Source organism: Homo sapiens, chromosome 13 (assembly GCF_000001405.40).
Source record: "Homo sapiens chromosome 13, GRCh38.p14 Primary Assembly".
In the NCBI taxonomy this organism is placed as follows: domain Eukaryota; kingdom Metazoa; phylum Chordata; class Mammalia; order Primates; family Hominidae; genus Homo; species Homo sapiens.
Genome location: NC_000013.11, coordinates 79,790,930 through 79,814,009, shown reverse-complemented (window position 1 = coordinate 79,814,009; position 23,080 = coordinate 79,790,930). Strand labels below are relative to the sequence as shown.

Genomic DNA, 23,080 nt, shown 5'->3' with positions numbered 1-23,080 from the left:
TTTAAAAATTGGGTAAAAGATTTGAATAAACATTTCTCCAAAGAAGTCATAAATGTATAAAAGTATGCTTGATGTCATTAGTCATCAGAGAAATCAAAACCAAAACGACAACACGATGCCATTTCACACCCACCAGGATATCTATACTCAAAAAGTTAGATAAGAGCAAGTGTTGACAAGGATGTGGAAAAATCAGAATCCTTACAGACTGCTGGTGAGAATGGAAAATGGTGCAGCTACTGTGTAAAACAGTCTGGCAGCTCCTCAGAAGGTTAAGCATAGAGTTACCATGTGACTCAAAATTTTACTCCTAGATATCTACCAGGGAAGATGAAAACATACATCCACACAAAAACCCATACATGAATATTTATACCAGCATTATTCATAATAGCCAAAAGGTAGAAACAACCCAAATGTCTATCAACTGATCAATGACCAAACAAAACATTATACATCCATCCATACGATGAAACATTATTTGGCCATAAAAAGGAAGTACTGCAGCCAGGCGCAGTGGCTCATGCCTGTAATCCCAGCACTTTGGGAGGCCGAGGTGGGTGGATCACGAGGTCAGCAGTTAGAGACCAGCCTGGCCAGCATGGTGAAACCCCGTCTTTGCTAAAAATACAAAAAATTAGCCTGGCATGGTGGAGCAGGCCTGTAATGCTAGCTACTCGGGAGGCTGAGGCAGGAGAATTGCTTGAACCCGGGAGGCGGAGGTTGCAGTGAGCTGAGATCATGCCACTGCACTCTAGCCTGGGCGACAAAGTGAGACTCTGTCTCAAAAAAAAAAAAAAAAAGAAAAAAAAAGAGGAAGTACTACCACACGCTTTGACACGAATGAACCTTGAAAACATTATGTTAAGGGAAAGAAGGAAATTACATAAGACAAAGACTATGTATTATATAATTCCATTTACATGAAATATCCTGAACAGGCAAATCCATAAAGACAGAAGGCACTTCAGTGTTTGTCTGGAGATAGGAGGGATGGGGGGTAGTAGCTAAAAAATATGGGGCTTCTTTATGAGGTGATAAAAATGTTCTAATTTTGGCTGTGGTGATGGTGACATGTATCTGTGAATATACTAAAAACCTTTGAATTGTGCACTTTAAATGGGTGATTATATGATATGTGAACTATATGTTAATAAAGATGTTATTTTAAACTTTTCTTTACAAAAGTAGGATGTGCACCCCAATGGCACTGTAAACAATTTTCTCCCATAGCTATTCCATTTTCACACTACTTTCTTTCTAATTCCTATTTCTACTTCTCACTTCCATTTATCTTACACTTAGGTTTCATTTCCCCAGACCTACATTTCTGGTTCAATACCCTGCTTTTGAAACCTTCCTGTGAACCCTTTTAATGAGCTACAAGAGTTTTTCAACCTAAACTGTATGATGTTTACTGGCATTTAAGGTTTTACTTTCCTTACTTCTTCAGGTTAGGTACACCCTCTGTCAATCCTCAATACTAAGAAACCTCATCCAGAGAACAACTAGGGGAAGACCCCAGAGATTAATATGAGCTAAACACACAGTCTTTCCTGCTTATTCACATTAAACTACCATCCTTAAAATACACATTTGCATCTCACATATTTTAGCCACCAGAAATTTCCAGGAAATTTCTCTGTTTCTTACACTAACGGGTGTGGATCTAGTATCTTCCATCTTCAGATCTGTCTCAACTCAACAGTCTCTGAATATACAGAAAAGGCTCCTACTTTAGAATGGTAGTGAGGGAAACTGAAAGTGGCATTTCAGTTGAGTGAGAAGAAGCCAGCCATGCAAAGACCTGGGAGAAGAGCATCCCAGAGAGAGGGAACATCATGAATGACTGGCTGAATGCATGAACTAGAGATCCAAGGGGCATAGGAATCCAGAGAAAAAGGCAATCCCTCGAGACTAGGAATTGGAAACTTTGAAAGGCTTTTGCAAGTAGGTAAAACTGGAGCAGCATATTGGAAGAAAGGACCAGACTCAAACTCATTAAAGGAAAGGAAGGCATTCCAGGCAAGGAAGTGGAAACAAATGAATCTGGACTATACTACGTGAAACAGGTCAGGCAAAGCGAAGGTTGTTAGAGGATTGTTTCCTAAATATGACCAGCTCTGACCTTGGTTTCAGCTCTTTGAAATTCCAACACGACATCCTAAAATGGCAAAGAGTCCCATTTGTGCCCAGATTGGGTCACCGTTTCTGTGTGGCCTACACTTGTGCCTTATTACCTGCAAGAAACACTTGTTATTTTAGTTTTGCGGAGACAAAGAATACCACTTTCCATTGGGCTCTCTGGGTTGTAAAGAAACCAGTTCTCCCCACGTTGGCATTAGTATAGTGAAGTGCAGGATCTCTGAAAGAAGAAAGGGGCAAAACAAACTTAAGGTATCTCTTAAGTCTTCCTGAGGATAAAAGAAAGAACCAAGCTCATTATTTCCAGGGTAAAGTTAAAGTCCTAATCATCAATAGGAAAACTTTCCTCCTTTCAGAATTGTGTCCTTTGCTTCCTTTTTAGTCTCAGAAAAACTTTATTTTTCTAGAAACAGAGGGCAGAACAGCAACTTCCACTGTCTCCAGCCCTACAACTGATACTTTGCACTGAAAAAGTTACTTGCTTTAGTCAGACAAAGAACTATCTTTCTTCTGCTATTAACCATGGTTATTTAAGACTATATGTAAACGCAATACTGTTTTTAACACGATATTTGGAAAAGAAGATATGAAGAAGAATTAATCATGCAGAGAGGCAGAAAGTGATTTTTACTTAAAATTCACAATATCCATGTCATTTTCCCTGGGGGAGTTTATTTCAAATGCTACTTAGTAATTTTTCAAGACAGAAAATGATAAAGCCTGTCTGAGGGAGAAAAGGAGAACAAACTCCATTAATATCAACCCTCAGCCCCCACATATACCCCCACCTCAGGCCCCCATACTTCTGGCTGCCTTTCCCTTACAAGTGTATCTTTGCCTGGAAGCTAAGAGGTGGCAAGAGCATTTGTGGCTGAAAGATACTCTTATAGTTCACAGTAAGCATTCTTTGCATTCTTTAGATTTTTAAATACAGCAGCCTCAAGGGGAAGACCAAAGAAAGAGCTGCCCGTTTATTATATGAGGTGAGTAATAGTGGACAACAATAAAAAGAAAGAGGATTTCCGTGTCTTTTTTTTTTTTTTTTTAACCTCCCTTCTCTGTGGGGAGGTCAATTCCGGTTTGATAACCTGTGCATAGACCACGTGCAGTGGGTGGGAGTCATCTCAGAGACAGAAGAAAGGTGGATCAAAAGCATCTGCCATTTAAAATGCTCCCAAACCAATAGGCAAGCTTTGGAGAAATGGCTGCATATTTTTAAGACTCTACCAGTTACTAGAGCCTTTAAAGAACTCAGGGAGACTATGAGACCCTCTGAAGTCAGACCCTATCAAGTCACGGTCAAGACGCCTTCAGGCATCTTTAAAACATCGCACAATTACCCACAGAGAAAAACCTAAACAGATCACTAAGAGCAAAATAACAGATCAAGAGAGTAGGCTTGAAGTCCGCTCTGTCTAGCCTTTAAGAAGTGAAAAACGATAGAAATATTTTGGCCCCAGAAAGTCCCAAACCTAAGCCTTGCAAATAAAATCTTAGTAGCAGATTTTGTGATGACAGAACTGTTGTAGGTGAGACAAGAGTGCCCTGAATCCCATGAGGGTGGGGGGTGGGGTGTGTGTGCACAAAAAATGGCCTTGAGGGTAGACTGAGAGGGCTCCGTCCACGCTGGGTAATGCACACTCAGCACATTCCTCACTTGCTTTTATTCCAAGCGTAGCTGTGAGAGACACTGTCATGGCCCACTTGTTCGTAAGCTCCCAAATATCGTAGCCTGGCACTGCCAACTAATTCCCCCCAAATTGGTTCATCCCCCATCACACCCAAATCCCAGTCACACTGAGCCATCAGCCCAGGTGAGTGGGCTGCCACCTGGGAGCCAAAGGCACATTGTGTGATGCCTTTTCAGACTCTATGCACACTGCTGGCCCAGGCCTTTGAGGATAGACTGAGGAGCAGGCAGAAAAGCAGATCTGTTTTTCAGATCAGGAGAGGGGCATTGGTAGGCACTGAAGGATGAGATGAAGGAAGGAAAAGAGAATGCATTTGTTTACTTAAGCCAAGATTGACAGACCACTGGTAAGACATGGCGGTCAAGAGCTCAGACTGAAGACAGACTCCTCTGGATTTGAATCTTTGCTGTGCAGTCTCTAAGATCTGTGACCTGAAACCCATGTCCAGCTTTCTGCACCACAGCCCCTCATCTGCAAAATGGTGGTAATGATAGAACTACCTCAAAGCTGTTTTTTCTTAATTTTTTATTTTTATAGATTTAGGAGGTACAAGTGCAGATTTTTTTCTTTCTTTTCTTTTTTTTTTTTTAAATGGAGTCTTGCCCTGTTACCTAGGCTGGAGTGCAGTGGTGTGATCTCGGCCCACTGAAACCTCCACCTCCTGGGTTCAAGTGATTCTCCTGCCTCACCTTCCTGAGTATCTGGGACTACAGGCACGCACCACCACATCAAGCTAATTTTTGTATTTTTAGTAGAGACATTTTAGGGTTTTGCCATGTTGTCCAGACTGGTCTCGAACTCCCGACCTCAGGTGATCCACCTGCCTCGGCCCCCCAAAGTGCTGGGATTATAGGTGTGAGCCTCCGCACCCGGCCAAGTGCAGATTTCTTAGATGCATACATTCCACAGTGGTGAAGTCTAGTTGTTCAGTGAACCCATCTCCTAAATAATGAACGTTGTACTCAATAAGTAATTTTTCGAGCCCTAGCCCCTCTCACCTCTCACCTTTTGGAGTGCCATGTGTCTATTATTCTGCTCTGTATACCCATGTGTACCCATTGTTTAGCTCCCACTTGTGAGAAGCAGTATTTGACTTTCTGTGTCTGAGTTATTTCACTTAGGATAATGGCCTCCAGTTCAATCCATGTTGCTGCAAAAGACATGATTTCGTTCTTTTCATGGCTGAGTAGTATTCCATGGTACATATATACCACATTTTCTTTATCCAGTTCTCCATTGATGGACACTTAGGTTCATTCCATACCTTTGCTATGGTTATGGGATCTTTGGGGTGTTGCTTTTCTGGCTGGAAATCTCTGTGGCCAGTGGTGCCTTTGCTTGACTTTTGCTCGGGCCTGCTTAGCTTGTTCTGCCCACTTGGCCTGGCAGGCTGTACTCAACTCACACTACTAGCCTGGGTCCCACGCCTGCCAAGGGCAAGCCAGGCATGGAGCAGTGAGGGGTGTGTGAGGGAGAGAGCATGGGGTCTGGCCACTGTGCACAGTCTGCTGGCTGGTACAGTGGGGCAGGCAGCTCCAGGTGCCAGCACAGGTGCCAGCTCTCTGCGAGGCTGCAGCTGGACCAGGCACACTGCAAGCAGCTTCCCCAGCTGGCACTGGGGAATGCAGTGGCATCTGGAAGCTTAGAGATGCCAGGAAATGCAGGGCCCCAAAGAAGGAGTCACAGCCCCAGCTCAGGAAGTTCCCAGGTCTGGGCTCCCTGAAGGGCTGCAGCTCTTCTCCCCATCTCTTCTCCTGCAATGTGGTGAGCAAGTGGCATGTTTGAGCCCAGTTTGTGTTACAGCTCTTCTAGCCTTGCCATTCAGCAGGCCCCAAGTTCTTGTCCTGCAACCAATAAGAATGAAGCATGCAGATAAGTGGAAGGTGAGCAAGAAGAAGAGGAGCCTTACTGAGCAGTAAACAGCTCAGTAGAGATAGGGAGGTCCTGGGGTGGCTGGCTCCTCTCTGCTGACAAGTCATCCCATGATCTATGCAGCTCTTAGCAGAAAGGAGGCCCTGGAGTGGGTTACTCCTCTCTGCAGGCAGGTCATCCCTGAGGTAGGAAGCTCCTCTCTGCTTCTGGTTGTCCCAACTTTCTCCAGCTATCAGCAGAAAGCATAGCTCCTCTCTGCAGTTGGTAGACCTGTTGTCAGCCTTGCTCTGGCTGAGCCTGGGGCTCTTATGGGCCCCAGTGCGGGGAAGTGCATCCTGATTGGTCCATGGGCAGCCATGGGCGGTCCCAGGAAAAAGCACTATGAGTTCCTCCTCTGGTAGGCAGGACTGGCAGCCTGGTCCCCAGGCTTCAGGCCTTCCCTGAGCCTGAAGGAGGGGCTTCACTGGGGACCTGCCTTCTTCCACCCAGGAGCCTGTCCACCTCCTACAGCCATCCATGGTGCCCAGGCTGCTTGCACCAAGGGGAACTTGTAGGCCAGTGCCGAGCTGCCCTCAGCACCTGCTCAGCTTCCCCTCCTGTGCTCCTTGACACCCAAAGCCCAGAGGGGGCTGAGGTAGCAGGGGGCTGGCATGTCAGCACTGCCCCAAGTGTGCGCACACCCAACCAGGCTGTGAAAGTGCCCGAATTCGGCCCCAACCCTGCTCTGAGATTGGAGCAGGCACCACAAGCAAGGAAAGGCCAGGCAGCAGGAGCAGACACCCCCAGCCTGTGGAGATGGGGGTAGGGCAGGTGGGCCTTCTTGACCCCTGAGGGTACTGACTGCAGAGACCCAGGAGGGCGAGGCTCTTGCCTGCTCCATGGAGCAGAAGGCCCAACCCACCTCCCTACTGCAGCCAGGGTCTTGGCAGCGGCCACTCTAGATAGGCACTGCTGCCATCAATGTTGTGAACAATGCTGCAATAAACATGCAGGTACAGCTAGGTGTCTTTTTGATGTAATGCCTTCTTTCCATTTGTGTATATACACAGTAGTGGGATTGCTAAATGGTAGTTGTATTTTTAGTTTTTTGAAAGTCATTTTGATAATTAAATGAGACATTGTATCTGAACAGCACAGCACAGAGCACAGCACTTAGAAGATGTTCAGTCATCGTTATGAGTACAATAATCTCATTATGTGGAGAGGATTATTTCTTAAAAATTTCCCAGTCCTTCCTGCTCTAAATCCTCCCTCCTGGTGGCCATTCTGGTTTTGCATAGTTTAAATGTATAAGCCTAGAGACCCCTCCAGGAGGCCGAAGGCCAGAGATTCTTCTTCCTTGGCAGAGGTCTCCTTTCTGTGCCCTCCTCCTCCAAACATCCTCTCAAGGTTTTTGGCTGGAAATTCCCAGTTCAAAATTGAAGAGTAAAAGAAGATATTGTGCCCATTTCAGACTCATGAAGATGAATTGCTAATCCCCTTTTGGAGGAAATAAGGCAAAGTATGCTTAGTGATTCATTAGAGAACAAAGAGTGTGCTAGTCTAGTGAGAAGTAGATGTTCTTCTGGAGGACTGGCAAAAGAGAATGGGGGAGTGGGCCGGGCGAGGTGGCTCACACCTATAATGCCAGCAGTTTTGGGAGGTCAAGGCAGGTGGATCACAAGGTCAAGAGATCGAGACCATCCTGGTCAACAAGGTGAAATACCGTCTGTACTAAACGTACAAAAATTAGCCAGGCATTGTGGTGTGTGCCTGTAGTCCCAGTTACTCGGGAGGCTGAGGCAAGAGAATCGCTTGAACCCAGGAGGGAGAGGTTGCAGCGAGCCGGGATCGCACCACTGCACTCCAGCCTGGGTGATAGAGCAAGACTCCATCTCAAAAAAAAAGAAATAAGACAATGAGGAAATGGGCAATCAAATAAGGAATACGGGGCTCCCAGACTGTAGAGAAAACATTTCAGTTATGGATCTGCATCGGTGCCCATCCATTGAGTGACACCTTCCAGAACTTTGACACTCGATGTGACCCCCACTCCACAGACTACCTACCTGCCTGCCTGGCCCCCTGGACTCTATGTGTGGGGGCTCTTCAAATGCTAACCTTGGAGAAAAACACTGAAAACTCTGGGCATTAAACTGCCAAGGGCTACAGTCAGGTCTTAATTCCTGACACTGGGTTCAACGAAGTTCCAAAACTAAAGTCTCACAAAATCCCACTGACCTGGGATTAAACCCTTAAGTGGGAACATTTGAATATTGTTTTTCTCACAGAGAAAAATTTTAGAAGTACAACAGGAAAGAAGATGAAAACATGGATGGCCAAAAAAATTGAAGAAGTGCCTACAACGTCTATGTACTTCACATATTTAATCTTCATAGAACACTGAAGGCAATATTGCTTTCTACATTTTACAGACAAGAAACTGAGGCTCAGTGATTCAAAGCCAGTCTTCAAACCCAGGCCCCCAAAGCCTATTCTATCCAGTACTTTTCACTACACCCACTTGCCTCTCGATTATATTTCTGCAAACTGGGCATTCTTATTGTTTCTAGCATTTTTATGACCTTGTTCCCACTTATAAAATAGGGAGATTAGAATAAATCACCTCAAAGTCACTTCTCAGCTCTGTAATTTATTAAAAGAAAGGATCTTCCTACAAGGCAGAGGCCTGAGGATAACAGGATTCTTTTAAAGTTTGGAAACACCCTGTCCCCTCACTTGGGGAGGGAGACAAAGCAGGAATCCATGGGGGAGCTGGTTGTGGGCTGAGAAACCAGGCAAGTGTGAATTCTAATCCTGGTGCTGACATTGACTTCCTCTTAATCCTCAGAGTCACTTTGTTTCTGAGTTTCCATCTATGCAACAAGGTTAATAGGACTCATCAATCTCCCAGGAGGGTGTTCACGTCTGCTCAGCATTTGTAAGGAGCTAAAGTCTCACTTCTGAGAGCTTGTGGCAGTTTTACATGGGGGGTACCCTAAGAAACAAAAATCATGAATGCTCTAATTCAGATTACTGAAAACTGCATTAAAAAATAATAGTATTATGTGTTTCCAAAAACCTGCTCAATTATCTCGAATATAAATTCATTTTGAAAATCAATAGTTCATTACTTGCTCAGATAGTAAGAGGAAACAATATGTTCCTAAAATCCAACCTATCAGAAGGCACATAGTAATAGAGGTTCTAGAATAAAATCAGACATTTTGGAATTCCACAAGCTCAGCAATGCAACGTAGTCTCTTTTTTTGTTTAAATGTAATCTTTACCAACAGAATGATAGATTGAATTTGAACACAGGCTATTCTCAGTCAAATGGTCAGAAGTTTTTACCCTGATAAATGATCAGAATTTTTTACCCTGAAGAAACATTCTGGAATAGAATCATCCAGAACTTGCAAATTTGCTCAAATTTTGAACGGATGGTAATAGCCAAACACACCATGAGATCTCCAGTTCTTACACTTTGTGAGGTTATGCAATCTGCTGGGTAAGCTTCATATTTACATGCCTTTTTGTACATGATTTGTATATATGTATTTGGAAATACACACACATACCACATACATACATATTTGAACACACACACTTTTTTTTGTGTGTGTACAAGTGTATATATAAATATATATAAATATATATATAATGTGCTCCCAGATCATACAGCTTTAAGCATAAGATTTTTTTTCCTGGCCTACTGTGATGAGGGTGCCTTGGAGAGGCAGGGAGGGGAGTGTGTCAGCAAGCTGTGTCTCTGCATCTGTATTTCCTCCATCCTCTGCATAATGGGAAGAGAAATTTTCTGACATTGCTCTCATACCTTATTATCATCAGAGACTAATCGCTTCTACACTCCCCTTGAAAAGTAATGAGACTTGCTTTTATTTTGTGTAGGTCTTCCATACGACTTTTTCTTTCATGCCTAACAATTTCCGACTGCCTTTCTCAGACAGCGATATAGCAGGGACTTCTTTTTCCCACTCTGGACTCCATTATGACATCACAGTAGCTATACAAACCACAAAGTGAAGCAAACAAAAGAATTTTTCATTTTCTCTTTCATTCAATAAGGCTGCATTTTCTGTCACACTACAACCTTTTGACCCGCGTCCTAATGGTGTTGGTCACCCAAGGGCAGAAGTTCAGCCATAGGTGAAGTCTGTGTGTGTTTATGTTGAGGAGAATGTGTTTGCATTCACTTCCTGTTGGCTGTGCTTGCACAGTGCAGTTGCTCTCCCATAGCCCTGAGGTCCTGCCTGCTGAGTGAGCTCCATCTCCTGAAAGGTTAAAGACAGGTTATTTACCCCTTCTCCTTCCCCCCAGTCACCAAACCCTTTTGTCACTGCTGCAGCTGAGCTGACATTAGTTCAGTTTTACCTGGAGAAGGTTGAGGGAGTATGTGCTGTAATACCGTCTATCCCATTTGATTGCAATCATTTCCCAGTCTGCATTTCCTAACACCTGTTAGTCTATGAATCCTACATGTTGCATTAAAAATGTACCTTTGATTGCTGTTTTAAAATGTTGCAAGCTAATGGAAAACCATGTATTAAATAATTGAAGCACCATGGAAAAGTAGATTATATGGGGAAAGTTCTGATTTAAATAAGAAAATCACACAATTTCCCCCAAAATATCATTTTTTTTCTCTTTACTATGTCTACTACCCCACCTCACCTGCTACTGCCCTGCTTTAGCATCCTGCCTACTCTGTTTCCAGGAGATGAACGCTCTAACTGCCACCATTTGTGCTAAGTAGCTGACTTGTTATGGGAAGTGTTGCTGCATGCAAGCATTTATTCATTCATGCATGCATGCATTCGTCTGACCCACTCAACTACCCATCTAACTATTCATTTCTTCCTCTTCCAGACAGGCCTGAGCTCTAACAAGTAGACAAATGTGAATTACTGTAAGTAGTTTGGTGTGGCTGCAGCATAGGGTGGGACAAGGGATAGGTAAAAACTGAACTGTAAAAGGGCATAGAGTTCATCAACTACCATAATAAAGAACGGTTAGACACACTCATGGCTTTATATCCTATCCCTATAGCCCTTGTCTGTAATCCCCCTGCTACATGAGCAGGCACTGTATACATAGCATAGCAGTGGCTTCCAGGAGCTTCATTCTCTCCCATTCAACTGGTCCCTAATATTTAATTTGGTACCTCTCCAGAAACACTGATTTACTCTCCCTGCTGGTTCTCTTTCCCCTCTATGTCTGTATGATACTCTGAGACCTAGCAATGGGCATGTAATTAACTACTTGACCTCTACTCAGCTAGGTGGACAGATGATACGCAATGCTTCCTTCCTTCTTTTCCATTTTTGCCAGGATTCCAAGTTATGTTGTGTGTCCCTCTGCTGCTCAGTGTCTTGTTTCATCTTTCCCCATATGGTGTGACAGATCACTACAACAGACCATTATGGATGGGCCCCCATGTGGGAAGATGCCCTACTGAGGCAGATTAATGATTATCCTGGAGTAGTGCCACATTCTGTTTTTCAGGGGCCAAATCCGGATGCTACTGAGGAAGTTTTTTTTTTTAAACCCATAGGCACTTAATTGTGCAATGTTATACTTCCCAATGCCAGCTGGTCATCAAATTATAAGATGAAACAAGAATATTTATAATCCTTGAAATTTCAGCTGAGCCTATGTTGTCACAGAGGCACTCCTTACCATATGGCCCTTCCTTTTGCAAGGTTCCAGGAAACCCACCAGGGCATTGAGTCCCAAGTGTTAATTTCATTTTGTCTATTTACTTCCTGTTATAGCAAGAGATAAAATACAATGAAATACTTCCATTCCATTCATTATTTTTTCTTTGAATCTATGTCCTCTTCAAATATAAGTGCTTCTCCCCATAAAATATGTGATTCTTCTTCCCAAAATGTTTCAGCATTTCTTACTGTAAATTTATCTTATACAGCTATTCCTTGTTTTTCACCTGAACTATCACATTTTCCTTGCCTATGATTACCTTCATTGTCTTCATTCTAGTTTACTATAAGCACTTCCATCATTTTTATGTTAACAATGTTTTTCCCAACCTCGATTCAAGGATCTTTGCCAAAATAAAAATATATAGAACATAGTTGTCTCTGTATTGTTTTGCCACAATGTCAGTAGAAAAATAAATTTATTATATATTTCTTCTCCAAGTCTCTTCTGTACCCGTGTACATAACTTAGGAGCCAAAACGTCTCATTCAACATGTAAATAATAGATCTCAGATATTTGGAGGATGTTATTTAAAAAAAAACCCTCAATGAGTGGACTTTTAGATGCAAGCAGTCATCATGGGTATCTGAAAGAAGATATCGAAAAGGAAGATAGTGGTCTGCCTGGAGAAGAGCAAAATAGCTTCAACTGCATTTTATGGTGAGTGCCGCCCAAAGATACAGCCATGCAGAGCTGCAGGAACTCCTACTAAACAAAGAGATTTGAAGGCAGAAACAAAAATGGGAAATTTAAGGTCAAAGTCATGGACAGTTAACTGAATAATTTATAAGACTGAAAGTGGAAAGTAAGTAAAAACACTTTTTAATGTGATTTAAATGAGTTAATTTAATTATGTGAAAACTAAATTTAGCATAAAAGGGACTATACTCAATCTTGAAAAGACATAAAGAAAGGAAAAAAGTTTATTTCTTCAAAAGCCAAAGAGAAATTCCAGCCAGAATAGACAAGTAGAAGCAGAATTAACTATACTCCACTGACCATACCCCAGTGGGCAGGTCCTAGAGGAAAAGAGGATATACATCAGGGGTATATGTCTCCATTAAAAGTGCACACCAAAAAGCCAGACTGACTGGATTCAAATCCTGCCTCTGCCATTTACTAGCTAGGTAATCTAGCCAAGTTGTCTAACCTCTTCATGTCTCAGTTTCCTCATCTGTAAAAGAAGAATAACGTATTTACTCCAAAAATTGTCTATGAGGACTAAAGGGGAAAAATATATATATACACACACATCTATACGTGTGTGTATATATACACACACACATATATACATGTGTAGATATATAGACACACACATATATACACGTGTAGATATATAGACACACATATACACGTGTAGATATATATACACACACACATATACACACGTGTAGATATATATACACACACACATATATATTTACACACATACATATACATACATACACACACACACGTATATTTTCTAAAACAGTTCCTGACACATGGGAAGCACTACATAGCCATTGTTGTTGTTTTTGGTATAGGACAAAACCAAGAAGCAAGAGGAACTTGTACTATTTTGACCTTTGTAAAGCCAACCAGTATAGGGATAGCACTAGAACTCTGAACAACTTTGACTGCATCTGGGGGAAGAACAAAAGGAAGGGAGAAAGGAAGAAGAGTGATGCCTTAAAAATAATTTCTACGTACCTCTACCTTTCTTCAGGGCTAAGTCCAACCAGACTAACTCAAGAATCTTTGTCCACATTCTTAGTCCCTCGATTCCTCTTAATCAAAGCTATGCATCTCACTGCATGTACTCAAGGACATACTTCTGCCACCCTTCTGGAAATCACCTAGGATATTTGCCGTTTATAATCAACTACTTTTAAACCAGATGAGGTCCCAGTTCTCTACTCTTTATTGAATTCACCCCAATCACATTAAGAGGCCCAGAAGATTTTGAAAGTAGAGATGGGTAGAAAAAATGAACAATGTGAAGGGAAGAGTTCAAGCAAAAGCAGAAAAAAAAGGAGACATGAGGGTAAATTCAGGTAACATATGGACTAGAACACAGGGACATGTAAGAAAAGTGAGATGGGATTGGACAGTTATGAGAAATGCCCTGGTGAGAACATTGTACTTAGCATGAGTGACAATACAGTAGGGTATGGTAACCCATGGAAGAGAATATTCGTTAGTGTTCGTAGTAGAAGCAAAATGTTTAGGAGTCAGAAGACATGTTCTCTAGTTAGGTAACCTTGCTCATGTCACTTCTCTAACCCTCAGTTTTCTTAATATTTCCATTTTCAAAATATGTATGGAATTTTTGCTATGTGCCAAGCATCATGAGAGGTACTCTATGGGACTCAAAATTAAATAACAGCATCTGTACAATTAAGAAGTCAGACCAAGAGACCTGTTCTGCACATCCCAACTCTAACATGCCATGGCAGTTTCACAATCCAGTTAACGAAGGACAGCCAAAAATACTTACCAAATATTAGTGCATATAATCTGTGGATTATTGAACCCTGAAGAATTTTGTTAAGATTAACTATCAATAGCCTGGCAATCATTTCACTCTTTCCAGGTGAATAAACAGGTAAAGAAAACTTCACAAAGAGTGAATGATTCCCTATACTGCCTGAGAAATTAATTGCATATGAGAATGAGAAAAAAATGGAAGTACAATATAATAATAATCAGGACAGACATTATCTTGTCTAATTTTAATCAAGTCTTGATTTATATAGAGATTTAACTAGTTGATTAATTCTTTCTCAGTTTGTGTGTTTTTAAGTGATTTGTGATTTTTTTTAAATGTCTCTTTTTAAGAATCCCTGGCAAGTTGACATACATATGGTGAACATATGGCCTTCTCCTAATTGATTTAATTCAAAAGAGGACCCAGGGGAAAACTCTGAGCACTATCTGTTTGAGAGCTTTGGAGAATGTTTATTTCAGAGTGAAGGGTATAAGTGTGATACCATCAGAGCAGTGCAATTGAAACAGGCCAGGCATTACCCACACATGGTGGGAAGTATCAATGGTATTATTCATTAGGATAATTTTAACTCAAAATCTGTGAATTGGCAGAACAATTAAAAAATTCTGATGCTTATTTCAAGAACTTTTTTGAAAAATTCCTTGCACTGAATTTCTCCAACTTGTAAAACTGTCACTTTCCAGGTAAAATTGCCCTGCCTAATTCACCAGCACACCCATTTAGAGATCAATTTGCCTACATTCCAGAATGAGCTTATGTTTGCCTAATGCATCCTCCACCTGACAGAGATAATTCTGTAGCTAAACTACTGCGGAAGACATGTGCAATTGACTGCATTCCTTCCCTCCAGACTGCTATAAATAAAGCCATGTGTCTATTGTCTGTTTGTTAAATGGTTCCTAAATGACAGCAATCCAGCTGCAACAAAAACAAAATCAAGTTGAGTTCACTCTTTTTATCATCCTCTCCGGTTTGGCTCTAACATAAAGTCAAAATACTTGTCATTAGCTTATGATGACCTTCTTGATTTGAAGCTTATTTAAATTCTTAATATTGGGTCATGGGACTAAATTATAAAAATATGACATCTGGCCATGGCCCTATCAGTGTCTTTGTGTCAGTAATGCCCTAAACCCAAAGCTCATTTTGCTGTGTAACAAAAATAAAGGTCCTTCTGAGCCAAACATGAAAAATATATATTTAATATATTTATTTATATACATTTTATATTCAGTTACTACAGTGTCTCTCTATATATGTGTAGATATGTGTATCTTTTCTAAAATTTTATTATTTGGAGACTGGGGTCTCACTATGTTGCCCAGGCTAGCCTCAAACTCCTGAGCTCAAGTGATTTGCCCACCCCAACCTCCCAAAGTGCTGGGATTACAAGCATGAGCCACTGCACCCAGCTTGTGTCTTTCATATCATGTCTCTTGAGTCCTTAGCCTGACACATAATGTTTCTGAAAAATTTATGTTGAATGAATAACTGAGAATTCCCATGGTTTACATAAATAGCCATGTACTCGATAATATTACAGTGGTGGTAGTAAGAGTACTAGTAGTAATAATACTGACAATAATATAGCTACTAGCTATTGAACTTTTGCCAAGTCCAGGCACTAATGTAAATGTGCTTTGTTTTGTTTTTGAGACAGGGTCTCATTCTGTCACCCAGATTGTAGTGCAGTGGTGCAATGTCAGCTCACTGCAAACTTTGCCTCCTGGGCTCAAACTATCCTCCCATCTCAGCCTCCTGAGTAGTTAGGACTACAGGTGTGCATCACCACATCCAGTGAATTTTTTAAATTTTCTTTTTGTAGAGACAAGATCTCACTATATTGTCCTGTCTGGTCTCAAACTCCTGGACTCAAGCAATCTGCCTGTCTTGGCCTCCCAAAGTGTTGAGATTACAGGTGTAAGCCTGTAAATGTGCTTTGAACTAGGTACTTTGTCTCATTTGATCCTGATAATAGTCCTGTGAGAGAGACCTTGTTATTTCCCAGATTATAGATCAGGGAACTGAGGTGTAAGGTGATTGAACAATGGGCTAAGGACAAATAGGTAATAATACAGAATCCAAATAATCTGCTTATAACCACTAAACTATTTTAACTGAGTTCAGGGAGCACATTGTCATTTCAATGGAATTTTATTGGAAAGCTCAACACTATTTTTGTTTGAGCAGCATGATTTCTTTTACAGATTCCCTCCTCTTCTTACCTCCCTTCTCTTCTAGGAGTTAATTCTATTATATTAAATTGCTCTGGGAAATTGTTAATGATCCTGTATTCAAGGACTCTAAAATAGAAGGAATGGGGATGGAAGACTTTGATTCTGGGAATGCACTGCAGTCAAAAACAGAGATAGGAGCCAGAAAGTATTCCTGAAGTGCCCTTGTTCATTTCCATGTGCCTGAGCAATCCCCAGAAAAATTATTGCTGCTCCTAATTCCCAACCTTTGGGTCATCCTCAAATCCCTTGCAATAGAGTGGAGTATCATTCCTTCAGTTCCACAAAATATTTAGGAATTTTCCATAAGAAATTCATCCTTACAGAAGCAGCCTTTATGATCTGCTCTGTAGATTTCATCCCAGAAAACCCTACTGTATTTTGATGTCTTGCGGAGGGTGCCACAAAAACAGCACTCCAGCTAGCGCTCAGGAATCAAAACTTCCCTTCCTGAAGTTCATATGGCCATAGCGCCAAGAAAAAAAGGAGATATTTGTATATATGTCTTTCTTCTATATCATGACAGTATATTTTATTCTACCCAGTGGGAACCAAAGAGGCAAAACCAATCCAAATATTATTTTAGAGCTAAATATGTGCTTATGTATCTATTTTATACAAAGGGGTTATGAACGCTTCTAATGTCATTTCTTAATCAACTGGAACTTGAGCCTTTAGTACTTACAATCAAATTGCATAATTTTAAACAAACTGTACACTTAAAATTTTTGCAATTTCATGGTTAAAATGACTCTTTAATAGGAGGACTGTGGACTCATAGCAGAGGTATCTTCTGGATACCTATATGGGTGTCATTTTTGAGAATTAGAGGCAGAATTGGAGTGCATCATTTTTTTTAAAGTCTTTTCACAAAATTCTTTCTAAAGCCATCCCCGTTTTCTTCCATGAACATCTCTTTAGCTGCATAGTCAAGGTAATCATTCACTGCAGAATTCTATGAACAGCATAGTTTCAAATATTCTTTTTCATAGGCACACTGAGCACAGTCAGGCTACTCAAACTGTGTCTTGATTTGAGGTTTGGAAACATGGCCACAAGACACCTATGTAACAATTGAGCAGCACTCGTTGAACATGTTGCCATCTCAATCATGGTATCACACAGTATTCTGAAGGAAGCAGGACAAGACTGATCAGTCTATAAGGGAGTTCACACCACAGAAGCAAGTGATCCTGCTTAAAATACTTCCTTCACTAAGGGAAGACAATTCAGGTAAATATTTGCATGGCGAACAATTTACATTCTTCCTTTCCTATAAATGTCTCTACCTTTCATCAAAGATCCACTTGTCACCTACACAAATTGCAGGTGTTGAAGCCAGATCTGTGACCCTGAAGAGCATCTTTGCCATTTCCGAATGACCTATGCATCCAAAAATGTGCCCTATGTCTATAAACAGTTGAGCTTCTGAAATTTTCTCTAAGGAACACAAAGCATATGCCATGCAGCTGGCTCACATATCACCCGTAGTGTCAGACAACTGCTCTCTGAAGTGCTCTGGTTTTCTGATCAGGAGACATCTGTCATGCTGGTCACACAGTGGGGAAAGCATGGAGCTGGGATGCCAGTGATTGGGGTCTGGGCCTCACTTGGCCACCAGGATGTGTGGGTGTGGGTGTAGGCTAGTTCCATTGTTTCTCAGCCTCTACTTCCTCACTTGAAAGGTGAGAGTTTGATTACATGAGCTTTAAAGTCCTTATCCAATTCAAAACACTTGGGATTATTTAATTTTACAACCAAACAGGATAATGGTAACTTACTTCACTCTACTCTGAGAGCATTTTTGTGGAATTCTATTAGTTAGTAGATACCTTAAAGAATATATCTTTTAAGAAAATTTTTTGTAACTTTTTACTTGGAAAATTGAGCATACATCCACCCTCCAACAAATGAATGATACATTATGAACATCTTAAACTACTGTGTACTTTTTAAAATACACAAGCCATTGGCCAGTGCCAAGGGCTTAACATTCAATTTTGCAAATTTGGTTGAGCAGATCAATAATAGATATAAGTGAACAGAAAAAGTTCAGTGGAACTTATTTTATGGTGAGAAAAAAACTGGGGAAAGGTAGAAAATGACGATTTTGCCTACTCGGAACTTTTCATCTGAATAAGTGGGATTCATTACCCAACCAGGGCAAGTGGCAAGATATAGAGCTGCCCAGGAACCTCAAAGAAAATTTCCTAGAGCTTTTCAGAACCATCTTGTGTCAAAGTGATTTACCACATCAGCCATAAAACGATCCCTCCAGGGTCAAGCTAACCCCTGCCTGAGAAGCAGCTTAGTTTAAAAGCTACCACCCAATGATAGAGTGCCCCTTCCTGACGCACTGGATACCATGATATTCCTAAATCACAAGAAAAATAAGCATATAGGAATTAATATTTTCATGACAGTTTATACTTAACAAAGCAGTTTCACCTTCCCAATTCAAACTATTTTCAAATAAAACACAGAAGACATTTCACACGGAGCAGTTGTTTTGTTGTGTGTTGCTTTATTTTTATAATTTTCTCAGCATAAGAAATATTAAAGCCACACAACAGACTGTAAAATCCAATTTTATTCAAAATCACAGGGCTTGACATGCTGCAAGCTTTAGAAATGTTTTCCAATTTCAGTAACGCTGAGAAGCTATACAACCTGCACCTGTAAATCCAAAGCATGAAATGGAAACAGGCAGCCATCCATCTGCATTCCATACAGAGCTATAAAACTGTCCTGGGACATGCTGAGGAGGAGCCTAAAGATGTTTCAAAGGAGAGAGTAGGAAGTTCTTTCTAACATGAGAAAAATATAGGTGGCAGAGAGTTGAGGAAGAGCCAGGTTTAACCCCTCAAAAGCAGATACTATTTTGTGAGTGGAAGCTTTTAAATAAACCATGGCTCCAGTGATATTTGCTTTCCTCAGGGCTCATAGCCCTTCACTTAGGCTCTTTAGCCCAATTCAATAGACACCTCCTGATTGCTCAGTCTCCCTACTCGGAGCGGATTCAGAAAAAGGAGCCAACCCCTCCCTATTCTAGTACTTTTTCTCCTAGCCCTTCCTCCTTGTCAATCACCAACCTCAAAGAGCCTCCACAGTCTGTCCTCTTTCTCTAATATGTCAACATATCTCAATTGCCTTGGGACTATCCTAATGTAGCTTGTTGTCCTGGCATAATTATTAATAATAATGCATTTCACTCTCAACAGTGCCCCACCTTGGAGGATAAATTTATATGGTCATCTTCTCTGTATCTTGCCTTCTTCCCTTCCTTCTTCTGTAATATCTATTTCTGCAGCATCAAAATAATACCTCAAAATGAATGTCTACCAAATTAATCCTCTATCCCTGCTCTTCCTCCAAAGCTCCAGACATACAGTTCTGTTTCAGTGCTCCGTATGTCTATTTCAGAGGTTTTCTAGAACCAAACTCAAACAATTAAGTCTGTCCCTTGTTCTCAGCATTATTTTTATTAAAGACAATGAATAAAGCTTAATATCTTAAAGTCATTTTGTCAGTAGAATCATATATAATTTCCCATAAGTTTTTCTGGGTCAAGAACCCATAAATGTGTCTCAAACCCACATTTTATTTTCCCCACCACCAGAAGCATCTTAATCTCTCTCCCAGACTCTTACAAAATGCCAGAGAACTACCTAGTATTAAATAAACTATGGCTCACAAAATGCTTGCTCACAGCTGTTCACAAATTAGCAGTGATTCCAAAGAATGTCTAAATTGATTTAAACCCCTTAGCCTAATTTTCAAGGCCTTGCACATTACAACTTCAACTCAACTTGCTGATCTGAAAAAGATCTAATAGTCCATGGCTTTATAACCCTAGAAACAGTTCCTTATTTCTCTTCAGTAATCAACCTTGTATTCTAGGCTTCACATGAACTTTACCTATAAGACCTGCATTTTGAGAATAATCTAGAATTCTTTACCTTCATGGCATCATCTGTGCCATTTCTTCAGACTAAAATATCATCTCCAAGTCTTTAAATCTACTCATTCTTCAAGAACCTAGTCAAATAGCACTTCCTCAACAAGCCTTTTGTCTCCACTCTTCCCCCAAAGAAGTACTGATGTTTTATCATCTCCATCTTCACCATTGCCATTATTCAGTATTTTCAGAATTCTGTATTATTATGACCTCAGAACACTATATTATGACCTATCTATATTATTATGAACCAGAAGGCTCCGCTTCCTTTTAATCACAGTCACCTCCAAATGCATTTACCGTATTGCTGCCAGATTGGTCTTTCCAAGCATGAACATCATCGTAGCATTTCCTAGATTAAAAGCTTTTAATGATTCTTTCACATAGACTACACAAAAAGTCCTTCTCCTTCCTGTTTACCTGGATAGTTCCACCTAAACACAGCTCTGATGATAATTCCTCCATTACAGTGTCTGATTACACAATTTTCTTTGCTCTCTTGCATCCAAACAAAATTAACTACTTTCTTCTTTAGGTACTAACAAATTGTTCTTGTATTATTTCAGTTATCAAAATATATTTCTTGCTGAGATTTTTTCTACTAGATTATGGAAAAAGTGCTCCAAGGATGGCACTTATGTAGTGGTTAAGAGCATGGACTCCAGAGGCAGAATGTAGGTTCAGAATGTAGGTCCTGTCTCTACTACCCTCTAGCAGAATGATCTTTTCTATCAGTTAGCTATTGCTACAATAATGATGCATAACAAGCAACCATAAAGTTTCAGGGGCATGGAACAATCAACACTTTCTTGCTTATTAGTTTATGGGTTGACTGGTAGTTCTGCTGATTTGGGTCAAGTTTGCTGATTTGGGCTGGGCTTGCTTATGCATTGGTCAGTGTTGATTGGGCTGGGTCTTGCCAGTGTGAGATGGCCTTAGCTGGGACAAGTCATCTCTACTACCTAGTTCTCTCATCCTCCAATAGGCTTGTTTGGGCTTGTCCTCATGGTAGAAGCAAAGTTTCCAGAGCATTGTAGAGTTACACATGGCCTATTGAGATTTAGCCTGGGAACTAACATAATGTTATATGTGCCACAATCTGTTAGCCAAAGCAAATACAGCCCAAATCCAAAGGGTAGGAAAATAGACTGCAACCCTTGATGAGAGTAACTGCAAAGACACATTGCAAAGGGCACGGATAAAGAGAGACCATTAATTTGGGCCACTTTTACAATCAATCTACCACATCTTGGGCAGCTGCAACCTTAATTATTTTTTTCCTTCAGATTTATTATGGTATAACCAACAAATAAAAATTGTAGATATTTTAGGTGTATGACTTGATGTTTTAACATATGTATACATTGTAAAATAACCACCCCAACAAAGCTACTTAACATATCCTTCCCCTCACAGTTATCTTTTTGTGTGTGTATAATGAGAACACTTACCTTCTACCCTTTTAGAAAATTTCACGTATGCAATACCGTGTTGTTAACTATAGTCACTGTGCTATATATTAGATCTCCAGAACTTATTCATCTTGCATAACTGAAACTTTATACCCAGGACTAATACAGCTGTTGCTAAGATAGCTGCTGTAGGGAGCAATGCGCAGAAGAAGAAAGACCAGGAGTGGATGTCAGCAAGGTGGTAAAATAGGACTTGGTAACACTTGCTCCTCTTGCAGAAATATTAATTTGAACAACTAACTATCCACAAAACCACCTTCACAAGAGCTAAGGATACCAGATGAGAGATTAGAACACCTGGGTATAGCACAGAAATTTTGAGACACATAGGAGCAGCTAGGAAGGACAATTTCACATTACCTAAGTCACTAGTTTCCCAACCCCAGGCAGCCCAGTGTGGAAAGAGATACCTTCCACATGGGGGAAAGAGAGGAAAGCGAGGACCAAACTTTGCCTTGGTCTCCAACACCAAGCCCACCACAGGAAAATCCAGTGCCAGGCAGGCCCCCATTGTGCCAGACTTCAGGCCAGTACCAGTGGACTAGGCCTGTGGGCCCACCCCAGGGCCAGGCTGGCTTCAGTGGCCCCAAGCCTGGACCACCCCCAGCACTTGAGTGGCTGCAGTGGCCCAAACTTCGGCCTGCCCCAGCAGCAGACTCACCTCTGCAGTCTTAATCATCAGACTAGCACCATGGACCCAGCCTCCAGTCCAGCTCCTGCAGCCTGCTCAGGTTTCAGGCTAGCCCAGAACCAGGTTTACCCACACAGCCCTAGGTCCTAGGCCCTCCCCAGCACCAAGTCAGTACACCTGGTCTCAGATACCAGAATGGCACCTGCAAACACAGACTTCAGGCCTGCCCAGTGCCTGGGTAGATACTGCAGCCCCACTCTGTAGGTTAGCACATGTGGCCCCATGCTGCAACAGACCCACAGCAACTTCAAGCAGAACCTAGAGTTCAGGCTTATCCTGGTGGACCCCAGCACTAGACCAGCCCTCACAGACTCAGGTTCCAGGCAAGCCTGCAGGACCCAAGGCAGCCCTCATGGGCCTAGCCTCCAGGGCAGCACCCACACATCCAGCCTCTAGGCTAACTCCAGAAGACACAGCCTCCCAGCTGGTTCCCATGGCTCTAGGCCCTAGGAGAGCACTCATGATCCTAGACATCATGCTGGCCACCAGAGACCCAGGCTCTACACCTGCCCCAGCATCAAGCTGGTCCTCATGGCTCCAGGATTTAGTAAACCAAGGGTCAAGTCCTTCTCCAGGAGACTCAGAGTTCAGACTTACTCCAGTAGGCCCCAGTGCCAGGCCAACTCCCACAGACCGAGGATCTGTCAACATCCCTCCAGACTCAGGCTCCAGACCAGTCCTCCTGGACCCAAGATTTGGGCCTACCCTGACAGGCTCAGTTTCCAGACCTGCCCCAGCACCAGGCCAGCCTTTATGGAATCAAGCTCCAGGCACGTCCCAGTGGACCCAGGTATTGACTCATCCC

The 23,080-nt window shown here is 41.6% G+C and overlaps 2 long non-coding RNA genes across 2 annotated transcripts, besides 3 other annotated features; both read right to left on the bottom strand.

Annotated features, from left to right (window-relative positions):
• Window positions 4,879-5,854: an enhancer, noted in NCBI's record as "H3K27ac-H3K4me1 hESC enhancer chr13:80382291-80383266 (GRCh37/hg19 assembly coordinates)". NCBI's record gives its function as "activates a minimal SCP1, AML or CMV promoter by ChIP-STARR-seq in primed H9 embryonic stem cells {active_cell/tissue: H9 hESC(primed)}" and the evidence as "EXISTENCE:reporter gene assay evidence [ECO:0000049][PMID:30033119]".
• Window positions 5,855-6,831: an enhancer, noted in NCBI's record as "H3K27ac-H3K4me1 hESC enhancer chr13:80381314-80382290 (GRCh37/hg19 assembly coordinates)". NCBI's record gives its function as "activates a minimal SCP1, AML or CMV promoter by ChIP-STARR-seq in primed H9 embryonic stem cells {active_cell/tissue: H9 hESC(primed)}" and the evidence as "EXISTENCE:reporter gene assay evidence [ECO:0000049][PMID:30033119]".
• On the bottom strand, window positions 8,328-9,624 carry LINC01038 (long intergenic non-protein coding RNA 1038). Its single transcript, NR_125785.1, has 2 exons — window positions 9,526-9,624; window positions 8,328-8,685 (listed from the first exon to the last, which is right to left on the bottom strand). It is a non-coding gene; the product is annotated as a long intergenic non-protein coding RNA 1038 (long non-coding RNA).
• Window positions 9,625-18,726: 9,102 nt separating this feature from the next.
• Window positions 18,727-20,519, bottom strand: LOC124903226 (uncharacterized). The gene is made up of 2 exons (XR_007063893.1): window positions 20,114-20,519; window positions 18,727-18,924 (listed from the first exon to the last, which is right to left on the bottom strand). It is a non-coding gene; the product is annotated as an uncharacterized LOC124903226 (long non-coding RNA).
• Window positions 21,657-22,513: an enhancer, noted in NCBI's record as "H3K27ac-H3K4me1 hESC enhancer chr13:80365632-80366488 (GRCh37/hg19 assembly coordinates)". NCBI's record gives its function as "activates a minimal SCP1, AML or CMV promoter by ChIP-STARR-seq in primed H9 embryonic stem cells {active_cell/tissue: H9 hESC(primed)}" and the evidence as "EXISTENCE:reporter gene assay evidence [ECO:0000049][PMID:30033119]".